The sequence below is a fragment of the Homo sapiens genome, chromosome 5 (assembly GCF_000001405.40).
Source record: "Homo sapiens chromosome 5, GRCh38.p14 Primary Assembly".
Classification (NCBI taxonomy): Eukaryota; Metazoa; Chordata; class Mammalia; order Primates; family Hominidae; genus Homo; species Homo sapiens.
Window position 1 is genome coordinate 118,163,961 of NC_000005.10, and position 23,058 is coordinate 118,187,018.

General features: G+C 33.7%; 1 long non-coding RNA gene across 1 annotated transcript in view; it reads left to right on the forward strand.

Moving 5' to 3' along the window:
- The window catches only part of LINC02147 (long intergenic non-protein coding RNA 2147), a 535,702-nt gene that overhangs the window by 433,600 nt on the left and 79,044 nt on the right, over positions 1-23,058 (forward strand). The gene's annotated exons all lie outside the window — the stretch shown is intronic.

Sequence of the window (23,058 nt, forward strand, 5' to 3'; positions counted from 1 at the left end):
TATGGGCAGGTAAGATTGAGAAATGGGTGAACTATGAGATCTTAACTCATTGAAAATGATGCAATTTTAGATTTGCTGAAAAAAAAATCTAGATTACATGTCATTTTCACATCACTAACAATCAGATTAAATCCATATTTGAAAGAGTATGATTACATATTCTTTTTCCGCATGTGAATTTTTCTTTCTTTTTAAGAGACAAAGTCTCACTCTGTTGCCCAGGCTGGAGTGCAGTGGCATGATCTCAGCTCGCCGCAACCTCTGCCTCCAGGGTTCAATCAATTCTCCTGCCTCAGCCTCCTGAGTAGCTGGAACTACAGGCGCATGTCACCACACCCAGCTAATTTTTTTTGTATTTTAATAGAGACGGGGTTTCACCATGTTGCCAAGGCTGGTCTCGAACTCCTGAGCTCAGGCAATCCACCTGCCTCGGCCTCCCAAAGGGCTAGGATTACAGGCATGAGCCAGCGTGCTCGGCATCTCCTATGAATTTTTCTGAAGGTACAGGTGAACCTCAATAAGGCTTATTTGAATGTATCTACTTATTGTTAATCTAAAACCAGACTTTAAAAGACAGACTACTTAGGCAACCATCTCGGGTTTCTAATCATTTTTGAAGCCCAGAAAATGTTTTTCTCATTGCTACTGTTCCTACATATTGCCAGTAAATGTCCTGTTCAGGAGGGAGAGACATACTTGCAAAACCTCTCTTCTTTGTTGAAATTGGTGGAGGAAACACATTCAAAAAGAAAAATAAGGAGCAAATGCATCTGTTTTTATCACTGCTTAATGTTTTTCTTCCCTTAAAAATGTCCATTTTTATGTAAACAAGTTTGTTTTTCAGTTACCTTTCTGCTAGACAAAAAATGTCATTAATTCTCAAATGTCTTTCCTTAGGCAACAAACTCCTGGGTGCCACTTTAGCCACATATCAGAAGAGAATATTAATTTAAATAATTAGAGGAAATTGGTCTTTATAATCATCTTTGCAGAGTAGAAAACAGAGGGAGAAAGCCCCACGCACTGTGGATTTAAAGGAATGCAACAGTATTTGTGCCATTTTACCTCAGAGCCCGTGTTATGTGCCTGTTTGCTATTGCTGGGTCACCGTTGCTGCACACTGAGGGCATAATATGTATAGAGAATATCCCCTTTCCCCTCACCCCAAAAAGAATACAATATTTTAATGTGTTTACCCACATATCTTACTACTTAAAAAACAAGGATTTTCTTCCATAGTTATTTCCCATTGAATAATGCACACTTTCATCATGTTTAATGCTTGTCTGACAAGAGTTTTCCCAGTGGTCACTAATAGTGGTACCTTAGGTCAAACGTTAATATCTCAATAGCTTTTTTTTCTCTCTTCAGACCATTAATTTTTCCCTATGAGTCCTGTGAGTTGTGGAGAGATTCCGTTCAAATGGCAAATGCATAATAAATATTTGTTAAACATATAGACAACTACACTGTTCAAAATTTGTTAGATAACTTGGTAGTTATTTTCCACAGTTTAACTATGGAAATAACATACTGAAATATAAAGCCACATAAAAAAGCTCAAACTCCTAGGCATGGAATATCAGGCCCTCCAAGAACCTACCTCTGTGGACCTGAACAGCTTCTTATCTCACTGTTCCATCTAAAGGCTAAGCTCCATTCAACCAAAATTGGTTAGGTTATTCAGTATTTTACATTGATGTAATTCTCTGTCTTTGGCATGTTGTCCTTTTCTCTATCCACCAGGAAGATCCCTATTTCTCTTTCACAATCTGGCCTCAGCTCCCCAGCCCTACTGCACCTCATCCTTACCTCTTTTAGAAACATTTCTTAGATGTGCTGAAGACTGCTGTTTACGTCTCTGTCCACTTGAGGTTTTATGTTTTCTTCTGTGTATTCCCTGGGTCTACTACAATGGTGTGCACTCACGGCTGGTACTCAGTAAATGTATCTGACTCAATAACTAAATAAGGTCTTGTATAAGTGGAGTCTTCATTTTCTATAATCCTCTGAATAATGTAAAAATCATTTGTAATTCACTAAGTAATTAGAAAAATACTTGTTCTCAATGTTTTTTTAGTAGCATCATAGTGACTTCTATAATTAAAACACAGACTTCACGGATTACCTAGTCACGGGATTTATGTAAACAGCACCAGCCCAGGCACTGGGAGACAAGTCATGTGATTAATGTAAAAGGGTTCCAGCCCTACCACTGACCAGATGAATTTTTGAGAAAAAACTTAATTTCTCTGGACTTCACTTTCATCATCAGTTAAATATAAGAGTCACGAGATGCAAGCTCTGAAACCCTTTTCTCTCTGACATTCAACCAGTCTGTCATGGGAAAGCGTCCAAGTATGCTGGTCATAGGCATCACTTTTTCTGTACATTCAACCTTAACTGAGTGTCTACCACACACCAGGCATTGTACTGCAGCCAAGATGGACAAGACAGAGGAAACAGTACTAGCACTGTCACATTTTTAACTCACAACCACACCCTGATAGATATAACTATTCCAAGTTCCCAGGTGAGAAAATGGTAGCTCAAAGAAGGTAAATAACTTGCCCAGTCTCATACCTGCTAATGACAAATCTGGAATTGGAATTCCAATCTTTTGAATCTTAAACTGCTAAGCTGATAAACTGCTTGCATTCTACCATAAACGATTTAAAGAAAAAAGATACCAAGAAACAATGTTGCTGTGCATTAGACACAAATACAAACATTCTCACTATATAAAACGTGGCTGAATGAAGTTGGTGATGGAATAAAATTTTACTATTTTTAAAATTATGCATTCATTGTTATAGTGAGTTTTACTTTCTGTTTTTCCAGTAATATATAAAAGTGCTTTTTTACTCTATTGCAGAATTTTAAAAAATGAATGGAAAGTGTTCGTAATTCAGTTTTTCCATATCATAATTTTTTAATATTTATAATCATTTTCAGAATTTAGAGCTTAATGTCAAACATTATTATACCCACATAGATAGAGTAAGCCAGACATGAGGGACATGGATGTTTGGGAAAACGAGGAGCATGTTGGCTTCCGTTATTTAACCTAAATTATTCCCTCAAACTTTTAACTTATTTTCTATGTGTGTGTGTGCATGTATTATACAGTGTGTGTTTACATAAATATATTTACATATTATATAGTGTATTTATATATTGTATATATGTGTATACACACTATAAACAAACTAGTTTATATATAAACTATATGTAGATAAAATATATATTTTATATATTATTTATATATAAACACAAAGACACAATATATTTATATATGAACACATTTAGATACAATATAATATATAATATATAAACACACATATAGACATGTAATACACATATACATAATACATGTCTATATGTGTGTTTATATATTAACATGCATACATATAATACGTGTTTTTTAATATATAAAAACACACATATGGACATATGTATATAAACACCCATATAATACATAATTTATAATGTGTTTATATATATAAACACTACATTTATACTATGTAATATTTATATATTGTGTTTAAGCCACTGGTACACTCTGGCTGTATACTTAAGCTAATGTGAGTAAAAATATTAATAACAAGATTTGAGGGAAATATGTTCTCCCTTCATTCACTGTCAAGAGCAGGCAATGGAAAGAAATTGAAAAGGAACTATGCAATTCAAACTGCAGGAAGATAAATGGCCAGGAGAGATTTTGTTTTGTTTTGTTTTGTTTTATAAAGGCATTCAAACTCTGACCAAAAAACAACAAAAAAAAATCAACTGGGTTTTTTAAAGGTTTTGCTATGCCAAGGAGAACCTAATACATCACTATAGCTCCGAACAGAGAACAGAAGAAAGAGAAGGGGTCACAGCTATCTATCAGCCTTTAAACAAACATCGTCTAAGTTGCCACAGGTAGCTCAGTACATAACATCAAGTTATGTATCACTGAGGTGCAGCTGCTCACTGCTTAAAATAAAAACTGAAGATTTATATTATACCTACTTCCTGTCATCTACCTGTCTTCAGTTTTCAGCCAGGGGAAAAGGAAATTATTTTTTTTAAAGCTATAAACAAAGATAATTATTCATTCTTAATTTTCTGTAGACAAATATTTTAATGGGGTGGTACAAACCTTAGATTATTTGATTTGTTCAGAGTTTTGTGACATTGTTCAACAAAAATAATAAATAAATCTATATTTATAGGTAGAACAATGACAAACTCTGTGAGACAATTCTGTGTGCAGTTTTAGGGTGCTTCTCAGATTTTCATTTGGTTAAAATGACTCAATATACATGGCTGGTACAGCTCTCATCAAGTAATCTCTATTGGTAATGACAACTGTCATATAGTAATCAGCTAATTAGAAGATAGAACTTCAAGTTTATTGAAAGAATTTCCAATGGTAATGACAAGAATTGCTTGATAAATGAACTGTGTACAGCCACAAGGCTTATGTCTATGTTTTCATGACTTTACTGCTATTATTCAAGAAACATCTGTCCTAGGAAGATGAAATTGCACGAAACTTTTTGTTTCAAGAACTTTCTGAAAATCTATTTATCCAACTAATAGACTACTTAACTAAGTCTCATCAAAATAGTAGCTTTTTGCAGAACAATAGATTTCTCAATTAGGCTTATCAAACAACTATTTTATCTTCAAGGTTCATTTTAAAACTTTCCTTTAGCTGTGTCCACCAGTTCTAAATTATTATATCTCAAAATGTGCACAATCCCAGTCAAGCTCAGTACACCTCACCCCGTATGGAGACTCCTACCTCTCTTAAACCACTATCCATGTTATATATGTCATCCAGGACCTTGTGCATTGGAGACATTACTAGGACTTTTCAGGATAGAGGTCTCTTTTGTCTGATGAACAGGTTACTTCGATGGCCTGTTTGGGGACTTAGAATATAACATATACCTATAGATGGACGATAAATGTTCCACTCTTCTATAGGTTTTAATAGTAAAAAAAAAGACAAATGAGTCATAATTCCATACATCTTACATCAAGTGAGTACAAACTTATTCTCTTCTGGTTTCCACCAAAGTTAAATTCCAGATGACAGCTGGACTTAGAGAAATCTAGTTTTGACTTCTATTTATATGCTTGTCTTTCTCAACATGTTCTGATTAATTTAGTTAAATGACTGATCTATACCTGATTAAAAACTAATAAGTTAATTAATATGAACAAGTTAGTTGATATCTGTAGAAACAGCCACTAAATTTTTTAAGTTAAGATTATTTCACACTTGTCATTGGAGAAGAATAATTATATCTGAAGGAAAATTACAGAAGTAAAGGTTTTAACATCGAATACAGCTAAGTATTTATTTTAGTATTTATTTTAACTGTAATTTGTTCTTGTTACTGAAATTTGAAAAATATTTTAAGTGATTAACTTGAAAATAACTATCATCATTGTATATGCCTCTTTAAAGTTGAATGTGATATTAAATTATGGTCCTAAGGCTTATTCCAACCTGTTTATCTAGAATCAGAGATAGAAGAGTTAGTGAATTTTAAAATCTTTTCCCAGAGGTCTTATTCAAAACTCAATTTTGGTTTGATGGGAGAGTTAGCAAGCCTTTTATGTTTCACACTTCTAAATGAATTCCTATTCATTCTTTATATCTTTTTGTTTGTTTCAATTGGTGCGTTTTTGTTTTTAAAACTTTTGGTAAAATATACCTAACATAAAATTTAGCATTTTTACCATTTTAAAGCGTATAGTTCAATGGCATTAAATACATTCAAATTGTTGTGCTACCATCACCACCATTCATCTCCAGAATTTTTTAATCTTGAAAAACCTATTAAACAGGAATTCCTTATTCCCCTACCCTACTCCGCCCCAACATCTGACAACTACAGTTCTGCTTTCTGTTTCTATAAATTTGATTACTTTAAATATGTTATGTAAGTGGAATCATACAGTATTTGTGACTCACTTTTTTCACGGATATAATGTCTTCAAAGTTTATCCATATTGTAACATTGTTCAGAATTTCCTTTTGTGAAAGCTACATAATATTCTGTTGTATGTATATAACAAATGTTGTTTACTCATTCGTCTGCAGATACACACTTGGGTTGCTTCTACCTTTTGGTTATTGTGATCAATGCTGCTATGAATATTGGTGTACAAATATCTGTTTGTGTTCCTGCTTTCAGCTTTTTTGGCCTATATCTGGAAGTTGTTTATTTCTAGTAAAGAAAAACCCAGGAAAGGAGTTAAAAATTGCTACTGAAATTAAATGCATTTAAAAATTTGATATATTGCAAAAGATGCAATAAATATACAAAAAAGAGATAACAATTTAATTGACAAAATAATCTTGACTGTGTTAAAATATTCCTCTCCATAATGTTGTATGCCCATCTATACCATTTTACCAGATTCCAGAAAACAGTCAATATAGAACCATATAAAGGAGAAAATCATTCTATCTCACTGTTTTATGATTCAGGTCCAGTTAGTCAAGGGATATAAAAAGAAAATAAAATAACATTTGAAAACATATTTTGGCTTTAATTATAGTAAAAAGCTTTTTACATAGATTTAGAGTACGTATTAGGCATTTTATGCAGTTTCTTCCATTATCAAATCCCAAGACAATGATTCTCCACAAGATAGGGTAGACAAGGGTCTTACTCGTCTTTTTAGCCTGAACAGAACTTGACACATAACAAGCAATAACTAAACATTTTCTAAGAAATATTTGTTGATTATCATGGAGTTTTGTCCAGTCCTATATGTATTTTATATCTACAAGGAAAATTATGATTTTTCCACACTTAACATTGTGCAAAAATTTTCATACCTAACTCAGCTCAGGTAGTCTGTAGCTGTGTGATATTATAAAAACAGCTAAACTGGAAGCTGGCAAACTGGAGTTTTGGTCACTATTAATCAATTACCTTTAATAAGTCATCACTTTACCTCTCCTAGAGTCACTTCTCTCACTTATCAAATAAGACTGAATAAGAGATAATCTTTCAGCTCACACCTTCTGCATGGGAGATTAGCTCCTAACAACCCCAGAAGAAATTAAGCTGTTTCACAGTGAAACACTGTCAAAAGTGACAGTTTGTTATAGGTGTTATTATTAGTACCTCAAGTAATTTTTAAGTACCTTTTAAATTAAATAAGATTCTCAAGATTCTCATAGTAACAAAACAATATACATGACTTTGTTTCTATGGAAAAAATCTGTGTTCAAAATTATAACCTAAAATAGATAAACACATTTTATTCTTTTAAAATTGTATATATTCCCATGTGCTTTTTGTTAGCAAAATTTATAGCCCAAGAAGTCAAAAATCATAAAATTATTTCCTAAACATTAGTGACACAGTCAATTAAAATTTCATTTTACTTGCTGAACTCCAACTACCTAATAGATTTTCTTTTCTTAATTGAACAATTATTGGACATCATAAAGGTGTAACCCAGGCTAAATCTACAAACATAATATATAATTAGATAGTATTTCTACTATTTGATAGGAGAAAATGAACAAAAAATAATAACTGTACTTTTATGAGCTTTTAGTCTAATTCTCCTAAGAAGAGATCTTCAGTCTTGACTTAAGAATATTGATAATCAATAAGTAAAACGTGCATCTCTTTCTAGACTTTTATTCTTAAGGTCTTTTCTAGATTTAACATTTTATGATAAAGTGTATATTTTTAGAAAGTACACTCCTTTGAATTTATTAACATATGCATTTCAAACTAGAAACTAATCTCTAGTCAAAGTCTAACAGTTTACTTTAAAATAAAGTTTTCAAAATAAAAATGTGTGACTACTATGAGTTTTATGAATACATATATCTACTTATTCAAATGATATTGAAAACCTATATAGGCTAGGTTTTTATGTGGTCCAAATCAGAAAAATGCATTTTGCCTCAGTTGAAAATGCTTCACAACTTATTGCTAAAAAGATATATGCAAACCTTGGTTACATGTTGATTTAGGGTACAGAAAAAAAAGCTGAGATAGGCTAAGCTGATTTTAAACTTAAAGTAAACAAACAAAAAAATTTATTTCTGAGGATGCATAAACTATTACTAGGATCGGAGATACCTGCGATTGCAAATAAAATAACGTAAGAGATAAAGCAAATTCTCTGTAAATGGACTGCTACAAAATTTATAAGACTGTCTTTGGGGTGTTGGGAGGAACTGGAAATTCTATTAGAACTTGAATTTCATAGAAGTTTGCAAGAATCATCAAGAATCTAAGAACAACTTGTCAGATGATAGTGGTGAGCAAGTGATTAATAAAGAATGCAGTTTATAAGGGACAGGCTTTAAGAAGACAGAATAATAAAGAAACTAAGACTCCAAGCATCCTAGAAAACCCTGCTGGGCCACAGAAATGGCAGTGAGGAGGCTTTCAGTATATGGCTGTTATTTTCAATGGTTTTGGAATGGCAGCCTTCATGCACTACAACTTCCATTTCTGATATCAATGCTCATATTGATATCAGAAGGTTAATAACTAACAAAGTTCATGACTGCCAAAGAATCCTCATGGTTGGACTATACTCCTCTCCTTCATTTTCACCAAGTATGCTTTTTCAAATTAAACCATCTGAGGAAATTTTTTTGGCAAACACTAAAGCTTCTGTTCTCCTTTCAGACCACATAGGCATCACGGTTGTTTATTCACACTGGGATTCTGTTACAGTGTTTGCCAGATCACCAATCCCTCCTAAAATCGAGGAGCCCACTTTAGTTGAAATAAAACTGTTTCTACCATAGTACAAAATAATTGTCTTCATTTTTCTTTCTCTTCATTACAATTTTGTTTAGATGAAATGTGAGTCTTAGATTTGCATGGATGTTGAGATTAATTGACAGTATCTCACAAACATGAACTTATTATTTACTAATATTATTGAAATAAAAATATGCCATTCTGTTGGCTTTTTTTTTTTTCTTTTTTTTGAGATGGAGTCTCACTCTGTCGCCCAGGCTGGAGTGCAATGGCACAATCTCGGCTCACTGCAACCTCCACCTCCCAGGTTCAAGCAATTCTCCTGCCTCAGCCTTCTAAGTAGCTGAGACTACAGGCACCTGTCACCAAATCCAGCTAAATTTTTGTATTTTTAGTAGAGATGGGGTTTCCCCATGTTAGCCAGGATGGTATCGATCTCCTGACCTCGTGATCCTGCCTTGGCCTCCCAAAGTGCTGAGATTACAGGCGTGAGCCATCATGCCCAGCCTCTGTTTGCTTTTAAATCATGTTTTAAGAATATTCAAGGATGGAGATGAGTAATGTGAAAATGAGGATGTGATCAGCTTAAGGCCTTTCAGAAGATATTTTTAGTTTATTTTTACATTTTTTTAGTTAAGATTGTATGTGCTCACAGTTAGTAAGTTTTCAACCTGAAGGAAATTCACCTTTTATTTAGTTCACCATTTTCTTTTCACCATTCATCATTTTTCTTTTGCATTATCTATAAAAGTTGAAAGCGTGCGCTGTCTTCCCCGTGTTGAATAGAGATTGATGGTGCGATGTCAGGTAAGGGGTTGAAGAAGACAGCTGTGAATATCAGCAGGGATGCTGCTCAGTGGCAGAGGGAAAAAACAATACTGTGACATCTAAAAATGCTGAAAAAATGTTCAGGTTTAAGAAATTTATTTTTAAAAATAGGTTGGCAGGTTGCCACATACATCATATTAAACCAAACTTAATTTTATTGGCTTCTTGTTTAGTATTTAGTTGCGTCTGTTTTTGGGAGCAAGCGATGGCAGGTATACTGAAAGGCTATTAAAGTAAAGAGAGAAGATCTCATTCCCCAGAAAAATGCACGGGCAGGTAAGGCAATCAATTTCCACATGCCCAGGGTTTTCAATTCAGCCCTTTCACAACATTTCATTGTCACTACTTCCAGCCTCTACGAGAGCATTTACTTCGCATATTTTTATGCCTGTTGGTATGTCTTCAGGGAAACGTTTATTTATACTCAGAAAAGGTTTATGTTTTTTGTAAAAGGCAAGAGAATATTACTGAAGCTAAAGCATAATAGATAAGGTTATCTATTGCTGAAGTTGGCTGATCCTGGGGATTACTATGAATGACAAAGATCATGATCCAACAGGGTCTGTAGCTTATCTATGTCAGATAAATATAACTGAAATGCTACTATAAGGTAGAATTTTGCTCCAAAGCAGAAATTCAATACCAAAGGACTCAAAGTGTCAGAATTAGATGGTAGATGAAAGAAGAAAAAAAAGATAACCCCAAGCTCAATTCACATTAATCAATATATCATTAGTTCCTCTTAACCAAGCTGTCACCATGTTAGAAATCTCTTTCACAAAAAGTCTCCTCCTTTCTAAAACTTCAATATATCTCTTGGAATGTGCTCATAAATAAAGTATAAAAGGTACACAATTTTTCTTTGTGACTAAAGGAAAGCAAAGAGTTTGTCTTTTTCAAGCTGCACTGGGAGGCTTACCGTGAAAGTAAAGTAGCAAATTAGCAGCATGCTAGGACCCCTCCTAATATCCTTATAAGATATTCATGAATATCTCATAAGATATGAAATATATATATGTTTGAATTCATGAACATATATTTTTACAGTATATGCATGTGTGTATATACACACATATACACACACTATATATATATATATATATATACACACACACACACACACACACTGTGAAAACCCCTAGAAACAAAAGCAAAAACAAGAGTCAATAATTTGCCAAGGTCCTAGGTAAGTTTTCAACCTGAAGGAAATTCACCTTTTATTTAGTTCGCCATTTTCTTTTCACCATTCATCATTTTTCTGTTGCATTATCTAGAAAAGTTGAATGTGTGCCCTATTTTCCCCATTTCAATAGAGATTGATTGTGCAATGTCAGGTAAGGAGTTGAAGAAGACAGCTTTGAATATCAGCAGGGATGCTACTCAGTGGCAGAGGAAAAAAACAATACTGTGACATCTAAAAATGCTGAAAAATTGTTCAGGTCTCAGGTGAGTAAGATGATACTTTAAATCAAGGGGGAAAGTTTTAAAAGCACAGTTACGTATCACTTAATAACAACGATAAATTTTAAGAAATGCATTTTTAGGTGATTTTGTCACTGAATAAACATCTAGAGTGTATTTACACAAACTCAGATGGGATAACATAGTACACATCTAGGCTATACAGTATAGTCTTTTACTCCTAGTCTACAAGCCTGTACAGCATGTTCTTGTATTGAATACTGTAGGCAATTGTGGCACAGTTATAAATATTTGTGTATCTCAACATATCTAAACATAGAAAAGGTAAATATACAGTATTATGATTATAATATATTATAAAGATTATGGTATTATAATCTTATGGGACCACTGTGATCTATATGGTCTGTCCTTGATTGAAATGTCATCTGGAGTGATGACTGTACATTTTTTCATCTAACCCATTCTGGAGGGCACTAACCAAACACGTTCCCCATACCACGCTAAAGGAAGAAAATACATCCCCTACAGTCCTAAATTCTACATCTGATACAATACATCCACTGACCAATAAAAAGTGCAGCTATTCCTCAAATCCATGTAATTGTCTTCCAAATCAGCCAGATTCTGAGCCATTCCACCTAACCCTTATTTCCATTAACCCTTCTCTTCCTACAGCAATTTAAAACAGAATTTGGAGATTATAAGAGTATAAGACCATGGGGTTCTAAATTCATAAATAAAAACTAACTACTGAGTATTCCGCTTATTTAGACCACTGCTTCTCAAATTATCTTTCATGAAGGACTAGTTTATTTATTTTCCTAAATTTCCCATCTGTTACACATGAAACTGGCAAAAAAAAAAAAAAAAAGAAATGAATCACTCGAAAAATTAAACTAAAATTAATCATACAAAATAATATATTTATTTATTTTTAACAGAGAGAGGGTCTCACTATGTTGCCCAGGCTAGTTTAGAACTCTTGGGCTCAAGTAATCCTTCTGCCTCAGCCTCCCAAAGTGCTGGGATTGCAGGCATGAGACACTGCATCCAACCCAAAATAATATTTTTAAACTATTAGATTCGACAGACAAAAAAATTACCATCTGTGATTTTTTTTTTAAGTTTCAGAATGTTCACTTTCAATTTCTTTAGTTATCTCTTTGTGGGCCCATAGCAAACATTTTGCACACTGGTACCAGCTGTGAGCAACCTTTTGAATATTACTGACTTAGATAACTCAGCATGCAGCATAGAAGAGCCTGTATCAGCTCAGTTTTTTAAAATGAAATTAATTCTTGCCAGGCTCTTCAGGCAGAATTTAGCACACCTTCCTTTCCTTCAGGTTTAGATCTGAGAGTCTATAGCTGCTAGCAGCCAAGTGGAAACAAGCTAGAAACACTCCAGCCAGCCAGCCTGCTGGGAAGCATTGAAATTGGATAGTACTCCTGTGGAGCCTTTAAGAAATATTAGAAAAAAAAAAAAAGACATTACTCCAAATCTGTGAGGAAGTTCATATCTCTACAGATAATTAACAAGAAACATGATTTCAGAAGTCCACCAAAAAGGAAGAAGGTAACACAGGCAATTTTTAAACCAAGAACAAACAGACACACAAAAAAGAACATGATGAGCTAAAACCAAAAATGCAACAATTTGACTTAATAGAAAAAATAATGAAATCTTTAGCAGATTTAAAATCCATTAAAGTCGCTAAAAAGAATGAACATTGAAAAAAAATTGTATCAGTTGTGTTGAGGATAAACATGAATGCTATTCTAGAGGAAATAAGAGAGATGGAAATGCAGGAGGATGAAAAATATATGAGATAAGAAATACAGATTCAGTCTAGATTCCAGTCTAGATTTTCCTGAGTAAACAACAAAAACAGAAGATTATAGATCCAAAGAGCTCAGTAAGTTTCAAGAATTTTGAAAGCAGTTTCTCAATAAATATTGGATTAATGATTAGCAACAGAAAGACAATTCTACTAGCAACTTAGTTTAATCACATTCAAGTAGCTGTTTAGCTATTCTTTAGAAACTGTTCATACTGAATTCAAATAAAAGCAAATGATTTAAGTACATTCCAGTATTTGATGCACTTTCTGTTCCTCACCACGAATTAGGAAGGGGTGAGGAGATGGTCAAAAGCAAATAAATATGTAAATTGACAAATGGGATCTAATTAAACTAAAGAGCTTCTGCACAGCAAAAGAAACTACCATCAGAGTGAACAGGCAACCTACAAAATGGGAGAAAATTTTCGCAACCTACTCATCTGACAAAGGGCTAATATCCAGAATCTACAATGAACTCAAAGAAATTTACAAGAAAAAAAACAAACAACCCCATCAAAAAGTGGGCGAAGGACATGAACAGACACTTCTCAAAAGAAGACATTTATGCAGCCAAAAAACACATGAAAAAATGCTCATCATCACTGGCCATCAGAGAAATGCAAATCAAAACAACAATGAGATACCATCTCACACCAGTTAGAATGGCAATCATTAAAAAGTCAGGAAACAACAGGTGCTGGAGAGGATGTGGAGAAATAGGAACACTTTTACACTGTTGGTGGGACTGTAAACTAGTTCAACCATTGTGGAAGTCAGTGTGGCGATTCCTCAGGGATCTAGAACTGGAAATACCATTTGACCCAGCCGTCCCATTACTGGGTATATACCCAAAGGACTATAAATCATGCTGCTATAAAGACACATGCACACATATGTTTATTATGGCATTATTCACAATAGCAAAGACTTGGAACCAACCCAAATGTCCAACAATGATAGACTGGATTAAGAAAATGTGGCACATATACACCATGGAATACTATGCAGCCATAAAAAATGATGAGTTCATGTCCTTTGTAGGGACATGGATGAAACTGGAAATCATCATTCTCAGTAAACTATCGCAAGAACAAAAAACCAAACACCACATATTCTCACTCATAGGTGGGAATTGAACAATGAGATCACATGGACACAGGAAGGGGAATATCACACTCTGGGGACTGTTGTGGGGTGGGGGGAGGGGGGAGGGATAGCATCGGGAGATATACCTAATGCTAGATGACGAGTTAGTGGGTGCAGCGCACCAGCATGGCACATGTGTACATATGTAACTAACCTGCACAATGTGTACATGTACCCTAAAACTTAAAGTATAGTAAAAAAAAAAGCAAATAAATATGTAAATGCACACAGATGACACAGCAGTGACCCTCACGTGATATCATGATGCAAAATATCCAGTGAGCTGTGCCGTCTTGGTTTGCTTCACCTTTTTGTTACCTTCAGTGGTTATAGCTAGTATATGAGTCACTGCTAAGAAGACTCCAGAATGCTTTCAAGGAGATGCTTAAGGCCAGCAATGTGGGCATTTGTAGATTAGCTTGTGGGAACTTGAGGAGGAAAGACAGGATTTTTTTTTTTTTTTTTTTTTTTTGGAAAGGCCTTCTTTACCTTCCCAAGAGCTGTCATTTAGCACTGCCACGTTAGGAAGAGCAGAGAGACACCTCCTAACATATCTCCATCTACCCACATAAGCCACTCTTCTTGTTTCCATACTTGGGCCCTATCTTTCCCCCAACTTTTATATGCTTTTTACTTTTTACTACACATTATTTATCTGAAGACTCTTCCATTGAGTTATACCTTAAAATATGTATCTTCCTCATGGGACTCACTCAATATGGAATAATCTTCTACATATTTTCATAAAAAGCACACATCATTAAGCAACGAAACAAAAAACCCAGTGCATGCTTATAGGAGGCCATTACATAGTTTTATTTTGTTTTGGGATTTTATTTTGGTGTGAGTGAAAGAAGTGTGTGCATGTGTGTGGGGGTGTGGTTAATGTTGAATTTCCCATAGAATGTGGAGCTGCTCTCTTGGGACCATAACATGTATATCTGAGAAAGCCCAAAAAGAGGGCAAACCTATGGCTTAATATTAATTTTTCCTGCATAAAGGTAATTGAACCATTTCTTGTATTAGTACTGTTTTTGAGCCCCATAGGCCTTGAATTATGAGTATATTAAGAGAGAGAGAGAGAAGATAATGGATGATCTAGTAAAAAGAAGAAAATATGTAAGAAAAAACATTATTAAAGGCACAAAATTAGGATGCAATCAGGAAAAACATATAGCTCACTTGGATTATATTTGTATTACTGACAAAACACACAATACAAAAACATAAGTGCATACCGTACAGGCCATATTGAATATCAGAACAAGTAGTTAGACATAGAGCCAACAAATATTTCCTGGCAAAAGTATCACTGGACCAATGTGAATTTAACTGAAGCAACTTCTAGAAATATATTAGCCTTTGTATAGTCAAAAATTACTACTTGTTTTAAGAAAAAGTAAAATAAGCAAAAGGATTTTTTAAAGTGAGAGTAAATAATGATGAAATGCTATTCCTTAAAGAGAAAAGAGTCTTAGCTGGTCACTATAACAGTTACGCGTAAGGTAGGGAAAAGTTTTGGTAGAATCTAATATCATCCTTTCAATAAATGGCCTACAAATGAGATCTGTGAGGAATAGTCTAAATAAATTTATCTCTGTAGTTCTCAAATGCTAAATAAGACTAAAAGGTAGAACTAAAGAAATGAACATATATGGATTTACAAAAGTCTAGATGAGAAATAATGAAAGCTAGATCAAACCAACATTTTGCAAAAATTGGATATTTTAAAGGACATTAAACAAACAAAAATGGCAAGATTAATAGCAGCAGAAAAATGGTAGGTTAAAATAAATCAATATAAAGAGGAGCTAAAATTGATCCTATAGTGATCCCATGCAAATGGAAGAATTTGTCCCCTTGACAAGCAGTGCTGGGAGAAGACAAAACGTTTATAGAACACATGAAACTGGAGGTTTTTTGTGCTGGTAATTGAATTGTAATTAATTGAACCATGTTAGGATATAGGCAAGAGAAGACAGTAGATGCATAATGTCACTTGTACCTAGAGGAAAAAAATTAACATTATCAGAAGAAAATTATTTACACAATATAAAATTATTTATAAAATTAGACTTCATAATGCACTAATTAAAAAGTTTAAAGGCATTCATGCTCTGAGTCAAAACTGGCTTTAGATACGTTTTGAATCTAATAGTACTAAAGTTCTTTTGGTCCGTCTAACCAAAAGTACTTAATTGTATTATATAAGGAATACTTTTCTTCTAAAGAGTACATTATATCCAAACAGTCACTTTATACACTGCCTTAAAAAGAGACGACTTGATCCACAGGGATGAGCAAAACAGATTCCAAAGGGAAGAATCTACATAAACAGCACTAAGTTCCTTAACTATTAAATTGAATAACAGAAAAAAGTGGCTAAGTATACTAGCAGTCCAACTATTTTATATTAAAGTTAACTTTTGTTGCCATTGCCACTGCCACCCTTAAGCATTTTAAATACAACGAAGCCCAATGAATTAATCTGTCCAAATAATTGGTAGCAAAATATTTGACCAATAAAATTGAGTAAGACCATTTGTTTGTGATTAAGTCAACAATTTTTTGACAATTATCAAGTATCAATCTAAATAATCATGTTTTGTTAAGGTTTATTCATTGAACAAGAAAATCAATTAAGTATTATATTGAGAAAAATATGAAAATAAACTATTTGTGTCTTTAGGTTAAAACAAAAAATCAAATGTCAGGCATATATACAATTTAGAAAAGGAGATGAAGGAAAGCAAACATTAAAATGTCAGGAATTTAATATAACCTATTCTAAAATTTAAGAGGACCTGAAAGATAATAAGATAAATGAAGAATAAAGACCTTGAGGGGAAGACTATTAAAGATCATGAATTCAAATAAAGAAAGAGGAGGCTTTAAAGGATAATCGTAATTAAATAGCTGTCTTTTTGTTACTATCTCTCCTCAACTCCAACCTTTAATTCACACTCTATGAGAAAATTAAATGACTCCATGATCAAGCCAGTAGTTAAGACTATATCTTTAGTAGAAAGTGGACTTCAATGGCTGAAAATAATTCAGAGTGAAATACAGCTGCAGCAATCAAGCAATTTTTAAAAGTAGTGTTATCAGTAGAAGCATTATGTAACTTGTTAAGGAGCACAGTGAAAGAAAGCTTAGTTTATAAAACAGCAGAAGAAAACGATATCAAAAGAGGCGAAAAGTAAATATAATAAGCAGCAAAGATCCACATTTGTATGGGTAAGGGTAAAGAAGTAAAAGTGAAAGATACAGTCTCAAATACATTCTAAAAATTTAAAGTACTTACAATTTTACAAGCATTTTCACATCAAGGCCTAGAGTAAGTTTTATAAACCAAAAAGTCAAACTAAAAGGGTATTATACTGGAAATAACAACCTAGTGGATGGTAGAACAAATATCATGTATCCAATCTTCCATAGTTTGTTATAGAAATATGAATGATAAGCCCTTGAAGAAAAGTCATATGCCCTCTTACTTTTTAAATAAATAGCTTTCATATTTCCCCATAGAAGATATATTTGAAAAAAGGCTAAAATATAACTAAATAAAATTTATAATAAAGTACATGAAATTATTTGGTGAAATTACACACTGCACAGTATAAATGGAAGAGTTCAAAACTATTTGTACTCTAAGCCACACTTCAAACAGTGGCTGTCAAATAGCCATTTAACTCAATACAAATATAGAAAATATAACTTATTTTCTAGTTAAGCATCAAATATTTAGTCCAATTGTAAAAATATATTTTCCTTATATAAATTAATGAACACTCCTTAGTTCTTTTCCAGACTCGAATGTCACAAAACTCTTCAGCAAAATATTAGATAAGCCAAAGACATTAAATTAGAGATTATTCACATTGTAAACAAAGAAGCAACAGTAAAGTGAGCAGAAAACAGGACAATCAATGTTAATCAGAATTCATATAAGAATAAAAATGTCCAAATCACAGAAAATTTTATAAATCTCTTTTTAACCTTGTATATTTTCAGTTTTATTTTCATGGGGCTACTGAATTCAGTATTTTAATAAAAAAAAATATCAGGGACTCATCTCCCTGGCAAAGAATTGTTTCTGGTGGTGACTTTGGATTTTCCTTCTATATAGCTCTGGGTAAGTGAATAGGGTGGTCATTTAATCCAGGGTCTAGGGCACACAGCAGACAAACCAATGAGAGAGCAACACAGTCCAAAGATAAACCAACAAAATAGTGAGATTAGGTTTAAAAGATAAACGAGAGAAAGAATAAAAAGCTAAGATACAGGGGAATGATTCCAACATCACAATGGTGAATAGGTAACCAGCCCAGAAGCAGGTGCCTGGCTATTTTAATCTCCTTGAAGTCTGCACACCACTCCTTGTAGCTAGTTAACCATCAGTGATCATTTTAACAACCACTAATTCAGCCAGCCTGCTTCCCCAGTCAGATTTAACATTTAGTGGAATATAGATCTTTTTTATGAATAGCTTTTCTTTTACATGACAACAACAATTCATGAGCAGTCCTACATTCCTCACTTTCTAAGTAAGCTTAAACTTAACTTCAGTACTAGTCTGGAGTCATCACACCACTGTGTAATGCAGGACAAACTTGAGCTTCTCAACTGTGAGAAGGCACTGACATCCTCAAGGGATCAACTTAACCTCCCAAGGATTGAGTTCTAATAAATTCAAGCAATGGGAAGCTGAGCTGCAGTGCAGCTGAGAACCCAGACATATATCTGAAGATGCCAAGAAACATGGTAATTGCAGGGTAGAGTATTTCCTTTGTGAAAATCTCATTTGGATGGGATTCTTAATTCAGTCTTTCTATTAGCTATCTCAAAATGCCCAACGTTTCAAATCTATTACATCTTGAAAGTACCTCTAAAATCTTCACCCATTATCAAGCCAAAGCAATTTTCTAAGCTCTGACTCAGATAACTTTATTTCATGATTTTTAATAATTAGAGCATTTTTATGCCCAATAAAAGACATCTGAGCCTCAGTATTTTTCATCCACAAATCACAAACAATTTATTTTCTATGAAAGCTATTCTGAATCTCTATCTACTAAGGAAATCTTCCTTGCAATTGCACAAGTTTGGGAAACTACTTCCTATTTACTAGGGGTACACTTGGGATATTTTCTCTTCTAGATAATATTGGAAAATATGCTTTGAGGGCTATAATAAGCTAATTGGAAAAATAAAAGTTAATTCACTGCAAGAATCCCCTCTCTGTACCTGTAGCATTTAGTTCAGTAACTGCAACACAGAAACGGTGGAATGAGTGACATGGTATTATTATTAAAATAATTCCCTCTATTTATATGCCAGAAAATATTTTTTAAAAGTTTTAAGTATGTATAACGTTGCTGCATCTAAATATTAAAATATTATTCTCATGAAGCAAAGTTTATCATTTAATTCTAGCTATCAACATTATATAATAGAAAATTTTTCTTAAACAATATTAGAGTAGCTACAAACGTGACTTTTGTGCTGTTGTTCACAGGAATGGTGGAATGTTTTGAATGTATTAACTATGGCTTATATTTTTAATATATCATTTGTTGTGTATTTTTTAAACATAAAAAATATAACCTCAAAGCACTCAACAGAAATGTACAGAAAACTATAAAGGAAAGAAAACCCTTAGCAATTTCACCATTAGAGATAAATTATGACTTATCAGTTTAATGTGTAATTTAAGGTTTTCATTCTACAATTATATTATGTGTACATTTAGCATATTCTTATTAGTGGAAAATAATACCTTCGGCTTTTTTCCCCATCACTCAGTCTTCCACACTGATTCAAGGCAGGTAGAGAATTGGGACGTAGTACAGCTGAATGGATAAAGCAAAGCACAAGCTTTGGTGTCACACAGACTGGGCTCACATTCTAGATATCCCACTTACTAGTGTGCTCTAAATACATTAATAAAACTCACTGTCCTCATCTTTAAAACAAAGATGATAATGCTATCTTATAAAATAGCTATGAGGATTAAATGAGATAGTGTAGGTAAAAACACTACAAACCATGCCACACACAGTAAGTGTTGAAAACCCAGGACTCAGTTTACCTTAACTCCTTCTCTCCTTTCTAGAATAAGACAATATGAAGAGTAGATAGTGATTCAGCATTAAGCAAAGACTCTTCCATCTCAAAGATTTTCGGATCAAAGCGCCTCTCTTGGAGAGGCTAGGAACAGATGGAATAGATATGAGGAGGAAGCATGGCTCAATTTCTCAGTACAAATGGGAAGCCCATTGCTAGTAGTTTTTGCTTGTGAACTCCCCAAGAAACAGAACACTGTAATAAGTGAACAGAGTTGTACTCAATGAATTATGAGCTTTTCTAGATCACCCTTTAGCCGCCCATCTCTGGGATAAAAGTTTCTGCACTCTACTCAGCATTCAGCACATGCCATAGCTTAAATTCTATCCCAAAAGAAGTAGGTTTAAAAACATGAAATTAAATGTTGGTGTCTGTGCACACAGTGAAACAAATTTCTCTCTTGTTCTACTGCTTTACAAAGCTCATCTGGGATTATAGATCAAACTGAATTCAAACCTCACTCTCAGATTTGGCCTTCAGCCTGAAAGGACAAGGTGAGAACTTGGCCCATTAAACATTATGGAGTAAGTCAAGTAGTGAAAGGTTGTGCAGAGCTCCAAGCATCTCCAGAATGTTTTCAGCTTTTTACGTCGGAGACCTTTGAGGTTTGATTCCACATCAGGGCTCTGAGCTGTGTGAGTTCACACTGTCACATTAGGAAAATGCCAGGAGAACACCCGTCTGTGCAGACAAAACCTTACTGTTTCCCATTAGGGCTCAGTGGCGCCTGTTCTCACATTACTATGGTTAACCTTGGGTTAAACAGCATTTGGATAATAATGGCATAAACTTTTCACAGTTCACTTAAAACTTTATAAGGGTTGGTTCTTTGTAGAGGAGAGTGCATTAATATATAAAACAAGCATGTTTTTTAGTTTAACTATTTGGCTTTGTGTGCTTTCAGGGTCACTATTCCAGCAAAATGTAGGCAATTTCAATGTTTTTTTTAATAAAGTGAGAGAATGCAAACCTTTACAGTTCACTTGAATAAAGCTGTATGACCTACATACCGTGCATTTAAAACAATTATGATGCTGTTGCCAGACAGTATGGGGTATATTACTGGAGCTACCATCATTAGGCATGCCTCAGCATAACTCTTAAAGAATCCAGATGGTGGTTTTCAACTTTATCTCCATGGTGTACCCTAGGAAGTATGTGTTACAATCACAGTCTCCTTACTTCAAAGTTCTGTAAGCAGAGCCAACAGACGAAGGGGCTTCCTGCTGTTATTGGTGGGCTGTAACTGCACTAGCCATTACGCTCAACAGAACTTATATGCAATACAATGCCCCTGATCCACAACAGCAAAGATGTGGCCAAAGGGCAAAAACTGGTACATAGAGGAATTTCTCAGAACAAGGCCAACTGTTTTTAAAATTACATTTTTTTCTTTCAAATTCATCATTTCAACAGAAATGGAGAGGGGAGAAAATGAATATATCAATTGATTTTTTTATAAAAATGATTTCTAATAAGGTCTTATTATAATAAACAAATACTCAGGTAGGATAAGAATAAGATAAATCAAACCAACTGAGGGTCAAACTCTGGTTATCTTTAGGTATATAGGTAAACTAGAAATACTGCCTGTGAATCTAAAAAAGGATTTTCATAATTTAAGCATAATTTTCCTCAGTGTAATCACAAAGGCAAAATGATTTCAGCTTGCTGAAAATTGTGGAGGAGGCTGTTATTATGCTGTAGTGTTTTACTATAATTGTTTATATACTTAACTTTGCATTAAGACTCTCTATGTGTTCCAGCATTGTACAGTTTTAAGTTTCAATATTGGTTTCACTATTTAATTTGGATTCACTGATCAGATAATTCTGTCAACTAAATCTATAGAATACTTCATTAGATTTTTAAACATATGACATTATTAAATTGGTATTATCTGTCAAAATTTAAAATACACACAACCTTTGATCCCAAAATTCACTTTTAATAATTCATCTTATAAATGTTTTTTCAGTTATACACAGATATGTTCAAGCTAACTGAAACATTTTTATTAGCAAAAAAAAAACCTAAGAATAAGTTTCCATCAATAGGAAATTAGTAAATTTACTAGAAATGCTACAAATGATTTAGATCTTTCTGTACTAATATGGCAAGATCATCCAGATATGTTAAATGTTTAAAAAATAAGATATACAATATTGTGTGTAGGATAAACTTACTAATATTTCCTAAATGTTTCATCTGTTAAAAGATTCCATTCATTTTGGGTTATGAGTTGCTTTTATAAATAATTTTGTACCTATATTTCCAATGATTTAAAGAGGAGTGAGAGAATATACGTGATATGGTTTGGCTGTGTCCCCACCCAAATCTTATTATGAATTGTAGTTCCCATAATCCCCATGTGTTATGGCCAGGATCGGGGGAGATAGCTGAATCATGAGGGTGGTTTCCCCATCCTGTTCTGGTGATAGTAAGTTAGTTTTCACGAGATTTGATGGCTTTATAAGGGTCTTCCCCCTTAGCTGGGCTCTCATTCTTCTCCTTTCTGCCACCATATGAAAAAGGACAGCCTTGCTTCCCCTTCTGCCATAATGGTAAGTTTCCTGAGGCCTCCCTAGTCCTGCTGAACTGTGAGTCAATTAAACCTCTTTCCTTTATAAATTACGCAGTCTCTGGTATGTCTTTGTTAGCAGCATGAGAGCAGACTAATAGAACATGTTGTCAAGTCTCCCATTTTAGCTGAATTCAGTTCATCTTAATTGTGTTTCATAACACTATTTCTTAAAATAATTTTAGTTTTGTCCCATCTAAAGCATATAAAAATGACGGTTTTTGTTTGTTTGTTTGTTTTTGGTATATTATGTGATCGGATTCTATTTGCTATGCAGGAATTACATCATGACTCAAAATTAAGGCATGAAGAGTTGTCAGAACTCTGACCTAATAGGTCATTGACTACTATTTTTATCAGAT